Below are 21,085 nucleotides of genomic sequence, written 5' to 3'. Positions count from 1 at the left end.
TGGAGTGTAAAGGAGAGGGAGGAGTCAAGACTTAGGGTTTGACTTAGCCCAAAAGAGGGGGTGTAATCTTGTCACCTTCACATATGCCGAGTAGGACATGGATGTGAAGCAGACAGGTGGGCTGCTCAGACAGTTGCATATGGAAATTTCTAGGTCAGGAAAGAAGTCTGGTGAAAAAGACACGTTGAGAAGTTATCAATAAGAAGGGGGCAGTTGTAGCTATGACATGGAAGAGATCATTGGGGAGGGCTGTGGATCAAGCAGATCAGAGTTGAGCACAGATTTCTGGAGACGCACATTTATGGGACAGGCTGAGCCTGGGGAGACAATGTGCCAATGACTGGAAGGATCTTTGCAGACTTGCAGGTTGAGCCATATTCACTCTCAGCCTTTACCTTCATGGCTAAATTGTCATCTCTGTGGCCTGTTGTTCTCCAGCCAACATGACCTGGCAGATGGAAGTAATAGTAAAAAGAATGTAAATACTGATTACGGAGACACTGGGTGGAGCTGCACAACTTATCTAGTGGAGTTTTAGGGTGAGTTGTCTAGTCTTTCTGGGTCCTAGTTTTTGCATGCGCAACAGAGGGGGTAATTACACCCTACCTTGCAGAGTGATTTTGAGCACTGAATAAGAGAGACCTTGTGAGTTGTATTACTCCATTTTCATAAAGCTATAAAGAACTGCCCAAGATTAGGTAATTTATAAAGGAAAGAGGTTTAATTGACTTAACCTCCCCAGCATGGCTGGGGAGGCCCTAGGAAGCTTGCAATTATGGCAGAAGGTGAAGGGGAAGCAAGGCACCTTCTTCACAAGGCGGCAGGAAGGAGAAGTGCTGAGTGAAGGGGGAAGAGTCCCTTATAAAACCATCAGATCTTGTGAGAACTCACTATCACAGGAACAGCATTGGGGAAACTGCCCCCACGATTCAATTATCTCCACCTGGTCTTGACATGTGGGGATTATGGGGATTACAATTCAAGATGAGATTTGGGTGGGAACACAAAGCCTAATCATATCATGGGCAAAACACAGAAACTGTGCTAAGTAAATAATTATCTTTTGGTCTTTTTCCCCACTGGCAGCACCAGCCAGAATAAACAGAGGAAGCCCAGATTCTTTTCAGGGAACCCACTTCATTAGATTAAAATAATGAATAATGAATAATGAAGAGAGGGCAGAAGGGACCAGGGAAGCAGGAAGGGAAGGATGTAAGAAGAAAGGAAACAGGGTCTGGCAATTTTCATTGCACGGATCTAATTTAACCGGTCTGTCAATTTCTTTAATTACCCTCAATGCTCCCCATGTCAATGTATAATTAACAGGGCTTTGCTGTGGGCTGGAAGGACCAGAATTCAAGTCTCAATCCTGCACTAGTGAGGGTAATGTGCGACCTTTTTTTTTTTTTTTTTTTTTTTTTATTATACTTTAAGTTTTAGGGTATATGTGCACATTGTGCAGGTTAGTTACATATGTATACATGTGCCATGCTGGTGTGCTGCACCCATTAACTCATCATTTAGCATTAGGTATATCTCCCAATGCTATCCCTCCCCCCTCCCCCCACCCCACCACAGTCCCCAGAGTGTGATATTCCCCTTCCTGTGTCCATGTGATCTCATTGTTCAATTCCCACCTATGAGTGAGAATATGCAGTATTTGGTTTTTTGTTCTTGCGATAGTTTACTGAGAATGATGGTTTCCAATTTCATCCATGTCCCTACAAAGGACATGAACTCATCATTTTTTATGGCTGCATAGTATTCCATGGTGTATATGTGCCACCTTTTCTTAATCCAGTCTATCATTGTTGGACATTTGGGTTGGTTCCAAGTCTTTGCTATTGTGAATAATGCCACAATAAACATACGTGTGCATGTGTTTTTATAGCAGCATGATTTATAGTCATTTGGGTATATACCCAGTAATGGGATGGCTGGGTCAAATGGTATTTCTAGTTCTAGATCCCTGAGGAATCGCCACACTGACTTCCACAATGGTTGAACTAGTTTACAGTCCCACCAACAGTGTAAGAGTGTTCCTATTTCTCCACAGCCTCTCCAGCACCTGTTGTTTCCTGACTTTTTAATGATTGCCATTCCAACTGGTGTGAGATGATATCTCATAGTGGTTTTGATTTGCATTTCTCTGATGGCCAGTGATGATGAGCATTTTTTCATGTATTTTTTGGCTGCATAAATGTCTTCTTTTGAGAAGTGTCTGTTCATGTCCTTCACCCACTTTTTGATGGGGTTGTTTGTTTTTTTCTTGTAAATTTGTTTGAGTTCATTGTAGATTCTGGATATTAGCCCTTTGTCAGATGAGTAGGTTGAGAAAATTTTCTCCCATGTTGTAGGTTGCCTGTTCACTCTGATGGTAGTTTCTTTTGCTGTGCAGAAGCTCTTTAGTTTAATTAGATCCCATTTGTCAATTTTGGCTTTTGTTGCCATTGCTTTTGGTGTTTTGGACATGAAGTCCTTGCCCACGCCTATGTCCTGAATGGTAATGCCTAGGTTTTCTTCTAGGGTTTTTATGGTTTTAGGTCTAACGTTTAAATCTTTAATCCATCTTGAATTGATTTTTGTATAAGGTGTAAGGAAGGGATCCAGTTTCAGCTTTCTACATATGGCTAGCCAGTTTTCCCAGCACCATTTATTAAATAGGGAATCCTTTCCCCATTGCTTGTTTTTCTCAGGTTTGTCAAAGATCAGATAGTTGTAGGTATGCGGCGTTATTTCTGAGGGCTCTGTTCTGTTCCATTGATCTATCTCTCTGTTTTGGTACCAGTACCATGCTGTTTTGGTTACTGTAGCCTTGTAGTATAGTTTGAAGTCAGGTAGTGTGATGCCTCCAGCTTTGTTCTTTTGGCTTAGGATTGACTTGGCGATGCGGGCTCTTTTTTGGTTCCATATGAACTTTAAAGTAGTTTTTTCCAATTCTGTGAAGAAAGTCATTGGTAGCTTGATGGGGATGTCATTGAATCTGTAAATTACCTTGGGCAGTATGGCCATTTTCACGATATTGATTCTTCCTACCCATGAGCATGGAATGTTCTTCCATTTGTTTGTATCCTCTTTGATTTCCTTGAGCAGTGGTTTGTAGTTCTCCTTGAAGAGGTCCTTCACATCCCTTGTAAGTTGGATTCCTAGGTATTTTCTTCTCTTTGAAGCAATTGTGAATGGGAGTTCACTCATGATTTGGCTCTCTGTTTGTCTGTTGTTGGTGTATAAGAATGCTTGTGATTTTTGTACATTGATTTTGTATCCTGAGACTTTGCTGAGGTTGCTTATCAGCTTAAGGAGATTTTGGGCTGAGACGATGGGGTTTTCTAGATAAACAATCATGTCGTCTGCAAACAGGGACAATTTGACTTCCTCTTTTCCTAATTGAATACCCTTTATTTCCTTCTCCTGCCTGATTGCCCTGGCCAGAACTTCCAACACTATGTTGAATAGGAGTGGTGAGAGAGGGCATCCCTGTCCTGTGCCAGTTTTCAAAGGGAATGCTTCCAGTTTTTGCCCATTCAGTATGATATTGGCTGTGGGTTTGTCATAGATAGCTCTTATTATTTTGAAATACGTCCCATCAATACCTAATTTATTGAGAGTTTTTAGCATGAAGTGTTGTTGAATTTTGTCCAAGGCTTTTTCTGCATCTATTGAGATAATCGTGGTTTTTGTCTCTGGCTCTGTTTATATGCTGGATTACATTTATTGATTTGCGTATATTGAACCAGCCTTGCATCCCAGGGATGAAGCCCACTTGATCATGGTGGATAAGCTTTTTGATGTGCTGCTGGATTCGGTTTGCCAGTATTTTATTGAGGATTTTTGCATCAATGTTCATCAAGGATATTGGTCTAAAATTCTCTTTTTTGGTTGTGTCTCTGCCCGGCTTTGGTATCAGAATGATGCTGGCCTCATAAAATGAGTTAGGGAGGATTCCCTCTTTTTCTATTGATTGGAATAGTTTCAGAAGGAATGGTACCAGTTCCTCCTTGTACCTCTGGTAGAATTCGGCTGTGAATCCATCTGGTCCTGGACTCTTTTTGGTTGGTAAACTATTGATTATTGCCACAATTTCAGCTCCTGTTATTGGTCTATTCAGAGATTCAACTTCTTCCTGGTTTAGTCTTGGGAGAGTGTATGTGTCGAGGAATGTATCCATTTCTTCTAGATTTTCTAGTTTATTTGCGTAGAGGTGTTTGTAGTATTCTCTGATGGTAGTTTGTATTTCTGTGGGATCGGTGGTGATATCCCCTTTATCATTTTTTATTGTGTCTATTTGATTCTTCTCTCTTTTTTTCTTTATTAGTCTTGCTAGCGGTCTATCAATTTTGTTGATCCTTTCAAAAAACCAGCTCCTGGATTCATTGATTTTTTGAAGGGTTTTTTGTGTCTCTATTTCCTTCAGTTCTGCTCTGATCTTGGTTATTTCTTGCCTTCTGCTAGCTTTTGAATGTGTTTGTTCTTGCTTTTCTAGTTCTTTTAATTGTGATGTTAGGGTGTCAATTTTCTATCTTTCCTGCTTTCTCCTGTGGGCATTTAGTGCTATAAATTTCCCTCTACACACTGCTTTGAATGCGTCCCAGAGATTCTGGTATGTTGTGTCTTTGTTCTCGTTGGTTTCAAAGAACATCTTTATTTCTGCCTTCATTTTGTTATGTACCCAGTAGTCATTCAGGAGCAGGTTGTTCAGTTTCCATGTAGTTGAGTGGCTTTGAGTGAGATTCTTAATCTTGAGCTCTAGTTTGATTGCACTGTGGTCTGAGAGATAGTTTGTTATAATTTCTGTTCTTTTACATTTGCTGAGGAGAGCTTTACTTCCAACTATGTGGTCAATTTTGGAATAGGTGTGGTGTGGTGCTGAAAAAAATGCATATTCTGTTGATTTGGGGTGGAGAGTTCTGTAGATGTCTATTAGGTCCACTTGGTGCAGAGCTGAGTTCAATTCCTGGGTATCCTTGTTGACTTTCTGTCTCGTTGATCTGCCTAATGTTGACAGTTGGGTGTTAAAGTCTCCCATTATTAATGTGTGGGAGTCTAAGTCTCTTTGTAGGTCACTCAGGACTTGCTGTATGAATCTGGGTGCTCCTGTATTGGGTGCATATATATTTAGGATAGTTAGCTCCTCTTGTTGAATTGATCCCTTTACCATTATGTAATGGCCTTCTTTGTCTCTTTTGATCTTTGTTGGTTTAAAGTCTGTTTTATCAGAGACTAGGACTGCAACCCCTGCCTTTTTTTGTTTTCCATTTGCTTGGTAGATCTTCCTCCATCCTTTTATTTTGAGCCTATGTGTGTCTCTGCACGTGAGATGGGTTTCCTGAATACAGCACACTGATGGGTCTTGACTTTTTATCCAACTTGCCAGTCTGTGTCTTTTTATTGGAGAATTTAGTCCATTTACGTTTAAAGTTAATATTGTTATGTGTGAATTTGATCATGTCATTATGATGTTAGCTGGTGATTTTGCTCGTTAGTTGATGCAGTTTCTTCCTAGCCTCGATGGTCTTTACATTTTGGCATGATTTTGCAGCGGCTGGTACCGGTTGTTCCTTTCCACGTTTAGCGCTTCCTTCAGGAGCTCTTTTAGGGCAGGCCTGGTGGTGACAAAATCTCTCAGCATTTGCTTGTCTGTAAAGTATTTTATTTCTCCTTCACTTATGAAGCTTAGTTTGGCTGGATATGAAATTCTGGGTTGAAAATTCTTTTCTTTAAGAATGTTGAATATTGGCCCCCACTCTCTTCTGGCTTGTAGGGTTTCTGCCGAGAGATCCGCTGTTAGTCTGATGGGCTTCCCTTTGAGGGTAACCTGACCTTTCTCTCTGGCTGCCCTTAACATTTTTTCCTTCATTTCAACTTTGGTGAATCTGACAATTATGTGTCTTGGAGTTGCTCTTCTCGAGGAGTATCTTTGTGGCGTTCTCTGTATTTCCTGAATCTGAACGTTGGCCTGCCTTGCTAGATTGGGGAAGTTCTCCTGGATAATATCCTGCAGAGTGTTTTCCAACTTGGTTCCATTCTCCGCATCACTTTCAGGTACACCAATCAGACGTAGATTTGGTCTTTTCACATAGACCCATATTTCTTGGAGGCTTTGCTCATTTCTTTTTATTCTTTTTTCTCTAAACTTCCCTTCTCGCTTCATTTCATTCATTTCATCTTCCATTGCTGATACCCTTTCTTCCAGTTGATCGCATCGGCTCCTGAGGCTTCTGCATTGTTCACGTAGTTCTCGAGCCTTGGTTTTCCGCTCCATCAGCTCCTTTAAGCACTTCTCTGTATTGGTTATTCTAGTTATACATTCTTCTAAATTTTTTTCAAAGTTTTCAACTTCTTTGCCTTTGGTTTGAATGTCCTCCCGTAGCTCAGAGTAATTTGATGGTCTGAAGCCTTCTTCTCTCAGCTCGTCAAAATCATTCTCCATCCAGCTTTGTTCCGTTGCTGGTGAGGAACTGCGTTCCTTTGGAGGAGGAGAGGCGCTCTGCGTTTTAGAGTTTCCAGTTTTTCTGTTCTGTTTTTTCCCCATCTTTGTGGTTTTATCTACTTTTGGTCTTTGATGATGGTGATGTACAGATGGGTTTTCGGTATGGATGTCCTTTCTGTTTGTTAGTTTTCCTTCTAACAAACAGGACCCTCAGCTGCAGGTCTGTTGGAATACCCTGCCGTGTGAGGTGTCAGTGTGCCCCTGCTGGGGGGTGCCTCCCAGTTAGGCTGCTCGGGGGTCAGGGGTCAGGGACCCACTTGAGGAGGCAGTCTGCCCGTTCTCAGATCTCCAGCTGCCTGCTGGGAGAACCACTGCTCTCTTCAAAGCTGTCAGACAGGGACATTTAAGTCTGCAGAGGTTACTGCTGTCTTTTTGTTTGTCTGTGCCCTGCCCCCAGAGGTGGAGCCTAAAGAGGCAGGCAGGCCTCCTTGAGCTGTGGTGGGCTCCACCCAGTTCGAGCTTCCCGGCTGCTTTGTTTACCTAAGCAAGCCTGGGCAATGGCTGGCGCCCCTCCCCCAGCCTCGCTGCCTCCTTGCAGTTTGATCTCAGACTGCTGTGCTAGCGATCAGCGAGATTCCGTGGGCATAGGCCCCTCCGAGCCAGGTGTGGGAATATAGTCTCGTGGTGCGCCGTTTTTTAAGCCGGTCTGAAAAGCACAATAGTCGGGTGGGAGTGACCCGATTTTCCAGGTGCGTCCATCACCCCTTTCTTTGACTCGGAAAGGGAACTCCCTGACCGCTTGCGCTTCCCAGGTGAGGCAATGCCTCGCCCTGCTTCGGCTCGCGCACGGTGCGCACACCCACTGTCCTGCGCCCACTGTCTGGCACTCCCTAGTGAGATGAACCCGGTACCTCAGATGGAAATGCAGAAATCACCAGTCTTCTGCGTCGCTCACGCTGGGAGCTGTAGACCGGAGCTGTTCCTATTCGGCCATCTTGGCTCCTCCCAGTGTGCGACCCTTAAGTAAGTGATTGCACTCTCTGACCTCAAGTTTCCATACTTACATACTTGGATGTTTCTTCCCTCTTAGGTTTCTGTGCAAATTGAATGAGGTAATATATGTTCAAGTGCTTTGCAAAGACAGATAAAAATGTAAGGGATTAATTATAATTTCTATTACTATCACCATTAACATTTTGGACTTTGATTCCAATTCCTTCTTCCTTTGTCTTCTGGGATGCTCCCTGCTTTGCCCAGAAAAACTCATTCATTAGGCACTGAGGATAATTCCCCTATGGCCAAAGGATGTGCAGCTTCCAGATCAGCTAAATTAGAAACGTTTAAATTTTTCATCTATTCCCTTGTCTGCTCTTTGGTCAATAGCTTATTCTGACAACTTCATTACCTTCTAATTACTCTAAGTTCCTTTGCTCATTTTCTGTGTGTGATAAAAAACCTGCCCAAGAAAGAAATGTGACATGCCAAATCACTTGACTCATGACTGACAACTAAACCATTCACTTGACGGGGATTTTCTTTTTCTTCATCCAGAATATATTTGCAAAAGCACTTCTGCTGCCTTGCTTGAAGATTGCCAGCCACTTCTCCTTTTCTGCACACTTTACCTTCCACTGCCAGATGTGAGCAATAAGATGTATCTTCTTCTCTCTCAGAAGAGCTGATTTATCCTTTGCCTGTAAATCTTTGAGCAGCCATTCAAGAAGCTACATCAGATATGCCTTAATCTTTGTATTACTCATTTCTTAAAGGAATCTTAATCTATTGGGCTTTAATTATATGTCCTTAGAAAGTGCCAGCCTTTCCTTAGGAAGACACTTTATTCTTACAGTTTAATCATCATTTTCACTCTCATTTTCTCATGAGGCTCTACATAGAAAATTGGAGGTAGAGAGAGTTTAGAGGTCACTCAGCCTGCAATGGTGCCCGAGCCTGACAGTTCATGCCCATCCCAGGGCTTCTTATTCAAAACACAGATTCATTGTTGATTCTAAGCCAAGCCTGGAATTCTGGCAAGTGTATGTTTATAAAGCCACACAGATGATCCTAATGAAGAGCCAGCTGAGGAACCATGCACCCAGTGCATGGATTTCCACACTAAGATGGCTTTAGGCCAAAAGGTAAGAGCAGAGAATTTGGAATTTCAGGGACATGAGCTCAACTACTGCAACCTTTTCATATCCATTGAACGTCTTGGGCCAAGTTCCTGAAACTTTGTGGCCTTAATTTCTTAACATCATGATATAGAGAAGATTTTTGAGGCTTAACATGAAAAAACATATATAAGGCACCCAGCATAGGACCAGCCACCTGGTAGGTATATGTTCTCTTTCACTTCCCCAGGATCCCTATTATTTTCAGTATTATACAGTCTAATAAAAATTGTTCTTTTATTCTTACTAATGCTTCCTCGGTTATGCTAATGCAGTCCCTAATGTAATCCTCACAGCACGAGTATGAAGGTAGTACTATTATTATCTCCAATTTACAGATAAAAAAATTTATAGTTAAATTACAGGAAGTCCCATAACTGAAGTGGTGGTGGTATTGGAATTTGAACCTGGAAGGCCCAACTCTAAAGCCCACTCCTTCAAACATTCCCATCTAACATTTCATGCTTTTATTCAATTCTTTCTATACTTTCAGGACCAGGCTAGATGAGGCAGGCAAGGAACTGAGGACTACATTTAAGGAGGCCCTCACTCTTAATTGCAGGATGGGCACTTGCAGGATGCTGGGAGTGAGGTCCCCCTTAAATTCTGTGTCCTAGGAGCCCTGATCAGGCCCTGGTGGGATCCACTGGGGAAGAGGAAATAGCTGGGGAAACCTTTGAGACACACCAGCTGTCTTCCTTCACAAGAGCATGCATAGTGGGGACATTTATTCCCTGAGGTACTAAAGGTCCTAAAGGGGCTGAGGGAAAACCAGACTCCCAAGAGTTCTAAGGAACATTCGGGCTCTGGCCTCCACTTCCCTACCCTCCAGGATGGAGCAAACTAGGAGGAGGAGGTAGTCAGGGCTGCTGCTGAATGAATTAACTCATCTTTCCCCTCTCCACCCTCCCCAACCCCAACACACACAAACACACACACACACATACACACACGCTGGACCAAGATCTAACTCTTTTATTTGCTTGGAAATAATGGCCCTTCCCCAAGTTATGCTGACTGAGTCTCAAAACTGGGGAGAGGATGGAAGGGAAACTGAGGCAAGCTAGAACTTCAGCTAGGGGCACATTGGTTTAGTTGTGCACAGAGGACAGTGATGAGGGTGAGAGTCAGGACTTGTATTCATTTATTCATTTTTTGAGTCACAGTCTCACTCTGTTGCCCAGGTTGGAGTGCAATGGTGTGAGCTCAGCTCTCTGTAACCTCTGCCTCCCAGGTTCAAGTGAATCTCCTGCCTCAGCCTCCCAAGTACCTGGAATTACAGGTGAACGCCACCACGCCTGGCTAATTTTTGTATTTTGAGTACAAAATACCTCAAACTCCTGACATCAAGTGATCTGCCCACCTCCAAAAATGCTGGGATTACAGTTGTGAGCCACCACACCCAGCCAAGACTTATAATTTCTTACCTCAATATGATCGAGAGTTGTCATATGCAAGGGGCAGCACTTTGAAACTCCAAAACAACCTCGTGAGAACAGCACTATGCATAATATTTTACACATGGTAAAAACCGAGAATCAGAGGAAAGACCTGTTTAGAATTGGAAGGGCAGGGGTAGAAAAGGGGTACTACCGGCCAGGCGCTGTGGCTCACGCCTGTAACCCAGCACTTTGGGAGGCCGAGGCGGGCGGATCACGAGGTCAGGAGTTTGAGACCAGCCTGGCCAACATGGCGAAACCCTGTCTCTACTAAAAATACGAAAATTAGCCAGGCGTGGTGGTGCATGCCTATAATCCCAGCTACTTGGGAGACCGAGGCAGGAGAATTGCTTGAACCTGGGAGGAGGAGGTTGCAGTGAGCCGAGGTCATGCCATTGCACTCCAGCCTGGGCAACAAAGCAAGACTCTGTAGTGCAAAAAAAAAGGAAAAAAAGGAAGGAAGGAAGGAAGAAAGAAAGAAAGAAAGAAGAAAGAAAGAAAGAGGGAAAAGGAAAGAAAGAAAAGGAGTACTACTATGTATATGCGCTTCCATGATATTTAGTCTTGTTTAATTATCACAGGAAACCTGGGAGTTAGGCAGAAATATATTCTTTATACAGATATGGATGAGTACTTTCATTTAAGGAGACTGTCAAACTTGCTCAATGTTTCAGAGGAACCAGATTCAAACCACATTAGTTTTACTCCAAAGCTGTGCTATTTTTTCCTGTAATAGCATGTAGGTTTCAGCTTCCGGCTGATGGTCAGTGGCTTGCAGGTGCCCTGTATTGAGGAGAATCCTGAGATGACGTTGGGTTGATCAGTGATTTCTGCCATGGGTTGGTGGACGAAGAGGCACGCGTGCCACAACCGTCCTTGCACCACAGTGCTCTCCAGGAAGTGAACCTGACCCCATGGATCAGGAAAGCATAGGTCCTGAACATGGACAAAGTATCCTCTGGAAAATAATTCCACACTTTGGTCCTTATTCCTCACTGCCTCATTTAATCCTTCCCACAAACTTGGTCTTAGGCACTTCTGCAGCTGCGGCACCTACCATCAAAAAAGATGTGATGCATTTCGCTGAATTCATGACGTTGATGCATTTACCTGAACTGACTGCATAGTGGAAGAGATGACAAGGACTTTGTCCCATTTCACAGATGAAGAAACCGAGGCAGAATGTCACAGAGCTAGCCTGTAGTGAAACCATGACTCACACCCAGAACTGTGATCTCCATTTGGTATTCTTGGCATTAAAGCTCTCTGAGGGAGAAAGAAGGAAGGAAGGAGGAAGGGACAGTTGTTCTAGGAGGTAGGTGGTGATGAAAAGAAATCGCCTCAGGTCTGTTTGTTCACACTTCCTGCCAAATAAAGGCTGTGTCTCTCAGCAGGTAAAGAACTAAACAAACTGCCTCTGGCAGGCCCAGGATGGAGATATCAGCGTCAGAAGAGGGCCTTGCTGAGATCTTATGCTTCTGGAGGGTCACAGGAGGGGTAGAACTCATGGAAATAAAACTTCTGAGTTACTAAAAGAAGCCATCCTGAGGCATGGGCATGAGGGCTAAATGTCTTTTCAGAGAAGCTGACATCCTTTAGCTTTAGTTTTTCCTCTCTTTTCCCCTCCCTTCTCCTCTCTGCTGCTTCTGGATGCACGGTCCTGAACAAGTTTTTAATTCTTCAAGGAGAGAAACTTAAAAGTTAGCATCCCTAAGAGGCAGGCAATGCAGTCAACTTCATACTATGGTATAAATGACTAATAGAAACAACTTATCTCTGAGCTTTTTGTTTCATATTTTGAGAGCAACAACCTGTACAGAGCATTGTGCTGAGCACCTGCCATCCACAAGGAATTTACAGCTACAGGGAGCCTGCGATGGTTACATTCTAGTCCTCTCTGTGCTCTCACAGCCCTTTTCATTGAGCTGTGAAAGTCTCACATTTTACAGTCCTCTGTGCCCATTGCCGGGAGCTATATAGGTGTGGCCCTCTTCTACCTGGAGCTCACAGTCTCGCATGGGAGAGACTGAAGGAAAAAGCATCATCATCCAGTGGGAGAGACAAATTAAATCTAGGGCTTACCAAGAGGGTAGGAGGGGTGAGTGAACCTGACTGGGGGAGGCAGGAGGGCTTCAGGGAGAAGATCCCTGATAGAGATTTTAAAGGATAAGAATAAGATGGATGTAGGCAAAGAAGAAGGAGTAGAACATCTGAAATTGAGAACAACCCATGTGAAGATATGAGCCTTTTGAAAATCAGATCACAAAGCTAGTCAGTGACATACCAAAGCTTTAAACTTAGATCTGTTTAACCTCAATGCCAATTCAGTGGAGACCACTCTCCCTGGAGAGGTAGAAGTGGGGAGATAGTGGGAACTGGGGTGGTATTTCTTAGAGCTTCTTATTGAATGAACTGGTGAAAAGGGAGAGTTCCCTGATTTCCCTCGCAGGATGTGTAGCAGGGGTGTGGCTCACCTGCTTGTTTGCCCTGCAGCTCAAACCCCTAGGAGAAGCATGCAGACAGGCAGGTGCAGAGGCTGAGGTGAGTACTTTTGGGCTCCTGCCCCACCGCAACATCAAGAGGTGGGTGCCTGTGACTCCTGAAGCCCAAGTAGGTGTGTGCTACAAAGCTCTTTCAGGTTTGCCATCTGCAGACAGCTTGTGTGTTAATCAGCTCAACGGACCCTCTGCCTTATTCCAAGGGCAGAGAGCCAGTGTGACAGCCTTTTGTATCCTGAGCTCTTGCCCAGTGTCCTGAAAGAATTGCATCATACATGAGCTTGAGGGATGAGTGCAAAGTTTTATTGAGTGGTGGAGGTGGCTCTCAGCAAGATAGATGGGGAGCTGGAAGGGGGGATGGAGTGGGAAGGTGGTCTTCTCCTGGAGTCGGGTCACCCAGCAACCAGACTGTTCTCTGACCGCCCCCAGCTGAACACCCCTTGTTGTCCAGTAGTCCCTCCTCTTCTTTCTTTCCCTACTGCATCTTTCCACCATTGCTGGTGTGCCGGTCCACTCGTCTGCTGATCTGCTGGTCTCAATGTTCAGCCGCTTGTGTGTGTGCCCACTAAGGTCTCAGGTTTATATGGGGCAGCAGGGGGATAATGGCAGGCCAAAAGCAACTTTTTGGGCACAAAAACAGAAATGCCTGTCCTCATTTAGGGCAGCAGGTCTTCAGGCTTGAGGGAGGGGCCTTTGTTGGGTAAATGCCCTCTTCTACCCAGTATTTCCCTGTCTCCTGTTTGTATCACTGGCACTCCACCCCCAACCCAGCCACATGACCTTGGGCAAGGGACGTGACCTTCATCTCTGTAAGAACCTTTTTCCCATCAAGGAAAGGAGGCATTTGATCTCTGTGATGCTGATGTGGCTGCATGCTGGGGTGAGTGCAGCAGCGTTAGTTCTCTCGTGGTCTCTGCCATAGAACAAACCACTGCCCAGCCATTGCCCAGTGACTGAGAAACTCTCTGTGTGGGCAGCAGGGGGCTGGCAGTTTTGAGCTCTTGATATGAGAGACACAAGCTGTTCTGCAGGGCTCTGTGCTTTCTCTATGACCAATGTTTTTGAACTTCAGTGTTCACTCATTGCCTTGGGGTCATAGATGGTCATGACAGGATGGGGTCTTCAGGGATCTCTGCACTGTCCTCGCCTTGTTGTTAGCACGGAATCTGAGGCTTGGGGAGGGAGAGTCCCCAGGCCAGTGCTGAGACAAGGCCAGAAGCCTCATCCCCTGATCCCTGTGGCTTGTTTCCCACCACCTATTACTGTCTTAGGGGAGTCATAGATAAAGCTCTTTGGCTGTAAGCAATGTCTCTGGAGGCTCATCAAGCAGCAGAGAAGAAATAGCTTCAGCAACTAATTTTTGTCTGAAAAGAGGAAAACAATAAAGACCTTAAGAGAGAAATAAACTTGGAGGCTTGGTGAAGAAAAAAATTAAAGAAAAACTGCCAATTGCTGGCAAGAAAAATGAAGAAAGTATGTAAACACTGGAAAGAGTAGGTGAGGAAAATAAAACAACAAAATAAAGAGCTGTTTATTCAAAAATTCCTGTGACTGTGACCAGGTCAATCACTCCTCAAAAACCATCCATAGCTCCCTAGTGCCTGGAGGATAGAAGTAGAGACTTGGAATCTTTGAGTTAGAAGCATGTCTAGTTGGTGCATATAGGGCTCAATCCACATTGTTTAATTTTAAAATATTGGGGTTTTTTTTATTTATTTTTGGTGGGAGCAGGGAGACAGAGTCTCACTCTGTTGCCCAGGCTGCAGTGCAATGGTGCGATCTCAGTTCATTGCAACCTCTGCCTCCTGGGTTCAAGCAATTCTCCTGCCTCAGCTTCCAGAGTAGCTGGGATTACAGGTGGATTACACAACCATGCCCAGCTAATTTTATATTTTTAGTTGAGACAGGGTTTCACCATGTTAGCCAGTCTGGTCTCCAACTCCCAACCTCAGGTGATTCGCCAGCCTTGGCCTCCCAAAGAGCTGAGATTATAGGTGTGAGCCACCACGCCCAGCCAAAAATATTTTTTTGAGTGCCCAAAGAAATATATATTGTACAAAAATATAAATACTAGGATTAAGATGGTGAATAGGAGGCAGGACTAGCTTGCAGCTCCCGCTCCGATGCACAGAGCAGCATGTGGAGATTCACAGCATGAACTTTTGCTCCAAGAACTACCACAGGGACAAACCAGGAAAGCTGAGAGAATCCACAGACCCTTTGAAGGAACTGGATCACTGCTGCAGTCTCCCTGAGATGCCAAAAAACTGTGAGTCTGCTTGCTTTCTCAGTGGAGAAACTCATAGACTCAGCCCTGGTCACTGGCTGCCTGGAAATAGAGTCAGTGCTGTTATGGGGGCACAGTGGGAGTGAGACCAGCCTCTGGGACTGTAGGCTGCATGGGAGAGGTGTGAGACCTGTGACTGCCAGCTTTCTCCCCACTCTCCTGGCAACCTGTATAAGTCAGCAGAGACAGCCATAATTCCCCTGGTAATATAACTCCACTGGACTTGGAACCACATTCCCATCTCCTAAAGCAGCTGCAGCAAACCCTGTCCAAGGAGAAGCTAAGCTCAGACATGCCTATCCTTCTCTGCATCTGGTGGTCTTTCTCTACCTGCCCTGGTAGCCAAAGACAAAGGTCATAATCTCCTGGGAGCTCTACAGCCCTGCCCACTGGCTGAGAAACCTGAATACTTAACTAGGTATCGGAGGCAAGTTTGCATCCTCCCTATAGGACCTCAACTGATGTGCCTTGGAAAGCGCCACCTCATGGCTGGAGGCCAACCAACACAAAAGCAGCACACTCAACAAAAATACAACCAAGGACCCTCACAGAGTCCACTTTACTCCTCTCCTACCACCACTGGAGCAGGTGCTAGTATCCACGGCTGCAAGACTTGAAGACAGATCACATCACAGGACTCTTTGCAGACACTTCCCAATACCAGCCTGGAGCCCAGTAGCTCCACTGGGTGGCTAGACCCAGAAGAGCAAAAACTATCACTACAGTTTGGCTCTCAGGAAGCCTCATTCCTAGGGTAAGGGGGAGAACACCACATCTAAGGGAGGACTCCAAGGACAAAAGAATCTGAACAGCAGCCCTTGAATTCTAGGTCTTCCCTCTGACATAGTCTACCCAAATGAGAAGGAACTAAAAAAAAAAAAAAATCTGGTAATATGACAAAACAAAGTTCTTTAACACCCTAGAAAAATCATACCAGCTCATCAGCAATGGATCCAAGCCAAGATGAATTCTCTGAATTGCCAGAAAGGTAGTTCAGAAGGATGATTTTTAAAAAATTTTATTTTAAGTTCCAGGATACTGTGCAGGACGTGCAGTTTTGTTACACAGGTAAATGTTTGCCATGGTGGTTTGCTGTACCTATCAACCCATCACCTAGGTATTAAGCCCCTCAATGCATTAGCTATTTATCCTGATGCTCTCCCACCCCCTAGCCCCTGGACAGGCCCCAGTGTGTGTTATTTCCCTCCCTGTGTCCATGTGTTCTCATTGTTCAGCTCCCACTTATAAATGAGAACATGCAGTGTTTGGTTTTCTGTTCCTGTGTTAGTTTGCTGAGGATAATGGGTTCCAGCTTCATCCATGTAGAAGATCAACTATTAAGTGAATTAAAGACCAGGAAAGGTGAAGTCCAGCTTAAATAAATAAAAAACATAACACAGGATATAAAAGGAAAATTCTTCAGTGAAATAGATAGCATAAATAAAAAGCAATCACAACTTCTGGAAATCAAGGACACACTTAGAGAAATGCCAAATGCACTGGAAAGTCTTAGCAATAAAATCAAACAAGTAGAAAAAAAGCCTCAGAGCTTGAAGACAAGGCTTTCTAATTAGCCGAATCCATCAAAGACAAAGAAAAAAATTTAAAAAATAAACAACACCTCCAAGAAGTTTGGGACGATATTAAACATGTTCCTGAGGAAGAAGATAAATCTAAAAGTTTGGAAAACATACTTGAGGGAATGATCAAGGAAAACTTCCCCAGCCATGCTAGAGATCTAGACATACAAATACAAGAAGCTCAAAGAACACCTGACCTGGGAAATTCATCACAAAATGATCATCACCGAGGCACATAGTCATCAGGTTATCTTTTTCTTTTTTTTTTTTTTTTTTTTTTTTGAGACGGAGTCTCGCTCTGTCACCCAGGCTGGAGTGCAGTGGCGCGATCTCGGCTCACTGCAAGCTCCGCCTCCCAGGTTCACGCCATTCTCCTGCCTCAGCCTCCCGAGTAGCTGGGACTACAGGCGCCCGCCACTACGCCCGGCTAACTTTTTGTATTTTTAGTAGAGATGGGGTTTCACCTTGGTCTCGATCTCCTGACCTCGTGATCCGCCTGCCTCGGCCTCCCAAAGTGCTGGGATTACAGGCGTGAGCCAACGCGCCCGGCCAGTCATCAGGTTATCTAAAGTCAAGAGAAAGGGAAGAATCTTAAGAGGTATGAAGCAAAAGCATCAGGTAACCTCTAAAGGAAAACCTATCAGATTAACAGCCAATTTCTCAGAAAAAAAACCTTACAAACTAGAAGGGATTTGGGTGCTATTTTTAACCTCCTTAAACAAAACAATGATCAGCCAAGAATTCTGTATCCAGCAAAACTAAGCTTCATAAATGAAGGAAAGATAGTCTTTTCCAGACAAACAAATGCTGAGAGAATTTGCCACTACCAAGCCAGCACTACAAGAACTGCTAAATGGAGCTCTAAATCTTAAAACAAATCCTTGAAATCCTAGAACCTTCTTAAAGCATAAATCTCACAGGACCTATATAACAATAACCCAATGGAAAATTAACAAGGTATTCAGATATACAACAAATACATGATGAATAGAATAGTACCCCACATTTCAAAATTAACATTGAATGTATATGGCCTAAATGCTCCACTTAAATGGATATGGCAGAATGGATGAGAATTCACCAACCAAATTTCTGCTGTCTTCAGGAGACTTACCTGACACAAAAGGATTCACATAAACTTAAGGTAAAGGGGTAAAAAAAGATATTGAATGCAAATGGACATCAAAAGTGAGCAGAAGTAGCTATTCTTATATCAGGCAAAACAAACTTTAAAGCACAGCAGTTAAAAAAGACAAAGAGAGACATTACATAATGATAAAAAGACTAGTCCAACAGGAAAATACCACAATTGTAAATATATATGCAACTAACACTAGAGCTCCAAAATTTATAAAACAATTGCTACTAGACCTAAGAAATGAGATAGATGGCAACATAATAACAGCAGGGGACTTTGATACTTCACTGACAGCACTAGACAGGTCATCCAGACAGAAAGTCAACAACAAAACAAATGGACTTAAATCATACCCTACAACAAATGGACTTAACAGATATTTACAGAACATTCTACCCAACAACTGCAGAATATACATACTCATCAGCACATGGAACATTCTCCAAGATGGACCATATGATAGGCCACAAAACAAGTCTCAGTAAACTTAAGAAAATTGAAATTATATCAAGTACTCTCTCAGACCACAGCAGAATAAAACTGGAAATCAACTCCAAAAAGAACCCTCAAAACCATGCACGCTTGGAAATTAAATAACCTGCTCCTGAATGATCATTTGGTCAACAATGAAATCAAAATGAAAATTAAAAAAATTATTTGAACTGAAAGATAATAGTGACACAACCTATCAAAACTTCTGGGATACAGCAAAAGTGGTGCTAAGAGGAAAGTTCATAGCATTAAATGCCTATATCAAAAAGTCTGAAAGAGCACAAATAGACAATGTAAGGTCACACTTCATGAAACTGGAGAAACAAGAACAATCCAAACCCAAACCCAAACCCAGCAGAAGAAAATAAATAACAAAGATCAGAGCAGAACTAAATGAAATTGAAACAATAACAATAATACAAAAGATAAAAAATGGTTCTTTGAAAAGAAATAAAATTGATAGACCATTAGTAAGATTAACCAAGAAAAGAAGAGAGGAGATCCAAATAAGCTCAATTAGAAATGAAAAGGGAGATATGACAACGGATACCACAGAAATACAAAAGATTATTCAAGGCTACTATGAACACCTTTGCATGCATAAACTAGAAAACCTAGGAAAGATGGATAAATTCCTGGAAATATACAACCTTCCTAGATTAAACCAGGAGGATATAGAATCTCTGAACAGACCAATAACAAGCAGCAGGACAGAAACAGCATTTAAAAATTGCCAACAAAAAAAGTCCAGGACCAGATGGATTCACAGCTGAATTCTATCAGACATTGAAAGAAGAATTGGTACCAACCCTATTGACACAATTCCAAAAGATAGAGAAAGAGGGAATCCTCCCTAAATCACTCTATGAAGCCAGTATCACCTTAATACCAAAACCAGGGAAGGACACAACAAAAATAGAAAACTATAGACCAATAGCCCTGATGAACACAGAGACAAAAATACTAGTGAACTGAATCCAACAGCATATCGAAAAGAGAATCCACCATGATCAAGTGGGTTTCATACAAGGAATGAAGGGATAGTTTAACATACATAAGTCAATAAATGTGATAAACCACATAAACAGAATTAAAAACAGAAATCACATGACCATCTCAACAGATGATGAAAAAGTGTTTGACAAAATCCAGCATCCCTTTATGATTAAAACTCTCAGCAAAATCAGCATTGAAGGGACATACCTTAAGGTAATGAAAGCCATCTATGACAAACACACAGCCAACAGTATACTGAATGGGGAAAAGTTGAAAGCATTCCCCATGAAAACTGGAACAAAACAAGGATACCCACTTTCAACACTTCTGTTCAACAAAGTATGGGAAGCCTTAGTCAAAGCAATCAGACAAAAGAAAGAAAGGGCATCCAAATCAGTAAAGAGGAAGTCAAACTGTCACTGTTTGCGGATGATATACCTAGAAACCCCTAAAGTCTCATCCAAAAGGCTCCTAGAACTGGTAAACGAATTCAGCAGTTTCAGGATACAAAATTAATATACACAAATCAGTAGTTCTGCTATACACCAGCAGCAACCAAGCTGAGAATCAAATCAAGAACTCAACCTCTTTCACAATAGCTTCAAAAAAAAAAAAAAGAAAGAAAGAAAGAAAGAAAATACTTGGGAATAAACCTAACCAAACCTAACCTAATAGACCTCTATAAGGAAAACTGCAAAACACTGCTGAAAGAAATCATAGATGACAAAAGAAATGGAAACACATCCCAAGCTTGTGGATAGGTAGAATCAATATTGTGAAAATGACCATACTGCCAAAAGCAATCTACATATTCAGTGCAATTCCCATCAAAATACCACCATCATTCTTCACAGAACTAGAAAAAACAATCCTAAAATTCATAGAGAATGAAAAAAGATCCTGCATAGCCAAAGCAAGACTAAGCAAAAAGAAGAAATCTGGAGGCGTCACATTACCTGATTTCAAACCACACTCTAAGGCCATAGTCACTGAAATGCATGGTACTAGTATAAAAATAGGTACATAGACCAATGGAACAGAACAGAGAACCAAGAAATAAAGCCAAATACTTACAGCCAACTGATTTTCAACAAAGCAAACAAAAGCATAAAGTGGGGAAAGGACACCCTGTTTAACAAATGGTGCTGGGATAATTGGCAAACCACATGTAGAAGAATGAAATTGAATCCTCATCTCTCACCTTGTACAAAAGTCAACTCAAGATGGATGAGAGACTTAGATCTAAGACCTGAAGACATAAAGATTATAGAAGATAACATCTGAAAAACTCTTCTAGACTCTGGCTTAGGCAAAGACTTCATGACCAAGAACCCAAAAGAAAATGCAACAAAAACAAATGTAAATAGTTTAATTAAACTAAAAAGCTTCTGCACAGTAAAAGAAATAATCAGCAGAGTTAACAGACAATCCACAGAGTGGGAGAAAATCTTCACAATCTATACATCCAACAAAGGACTAATATCCAGAATCTATAAAGAACTCAAACAAATCATCAAGGAAAAAAAATCAAAAAGTGACTAAGAACATCAATAGACAATTCTCAAAAGAAGATAAACAAATGACCAACTAATTATCAGGGAAATGGAAATCAAATCCACAATGCAATACCACCTCACTCCCGCAAGAATGGCCATCATCAAAAAAATCAAAAAATAATAGATGTTAGTATGGATGCAGTGAAAAGAGAACACGTTTACACTGCCGATGGGAATGTAAACTAATACAACCACTAAGGAAAACAATGTGGAGATTCCTTAAAGAACTGAAAGTAGATCTACCATTTGATCCAGCAATACCACTACTAGGTATCTACCCAAAGGAAAAGAAGTCATTATACAAAAAAGATACTGGCACACACACGTTTATAACAGCACAGTTTGCAATTGCAAAAATATGGAACCAGCCTAAATGCCCATTAATCAATGAGTGGATAAAAAAAATGTGATATATATATAACAACTGTGGAGAAGCACCTGAACCCAGCTGATATATATATCTACCATGAAATTCTACTCAGCCATAAAAAGGAACAA

At 42.5% G+C, this 21,085-nt stretch overlaps 1 long non-coding RNA gene across 3 annotated transcripts in view, besides 1 other annotated feature; it reads right to left on the bottom strand.

Annotated features, from left to right (window-relative positions):
* Nucleotides 1-21,085, bottom strand: part of LINC01591 (long intergenic non-protein coding RNA 1591) — a 65,589-nt gene that overhangs the window by 33,181 nt on the left and 11,323 nt on the right. The gene's annotated exons all lie outside the window — the stretch shown is intronic.
* Nucleotides 6,565-7,197: an enhancer, noted in NCBI's record as "NANOG-H3K27ac-H3K4me1 hESC enhancer chr8:136271585-136272217 (GRCh37/hg19 assembly coordinates)". NCBI's record gives its function as "activates a minimal SCP1, AML or CMV promoter by ChIP-STARR-seq in primed H9 embryonic stem cells {active_cell/tissue: H9 hESC(primed)}" and the evidence as "EXISTENCE:reporter gene assay evidence [ECO:0000049][PMID:30033119]".

Source organism: Homo sapiens, chromosome 8 (assembly GCF_000001405.40).
Source record: "Homo sapiens chromosome 8, GRCh38.p14 Primary Assembly".
Taxonomy (NCBI): Eukaryota; Metazoa; Chordata; class Mammalia; order Primates; family Hominidae; genus Homo; species Homo sapiens.
The sequence above is the reverse complement of the archived record's forward strand: the minus strand, read 5'-3'. Positions and strand labels throughout refer to the sequence as shown.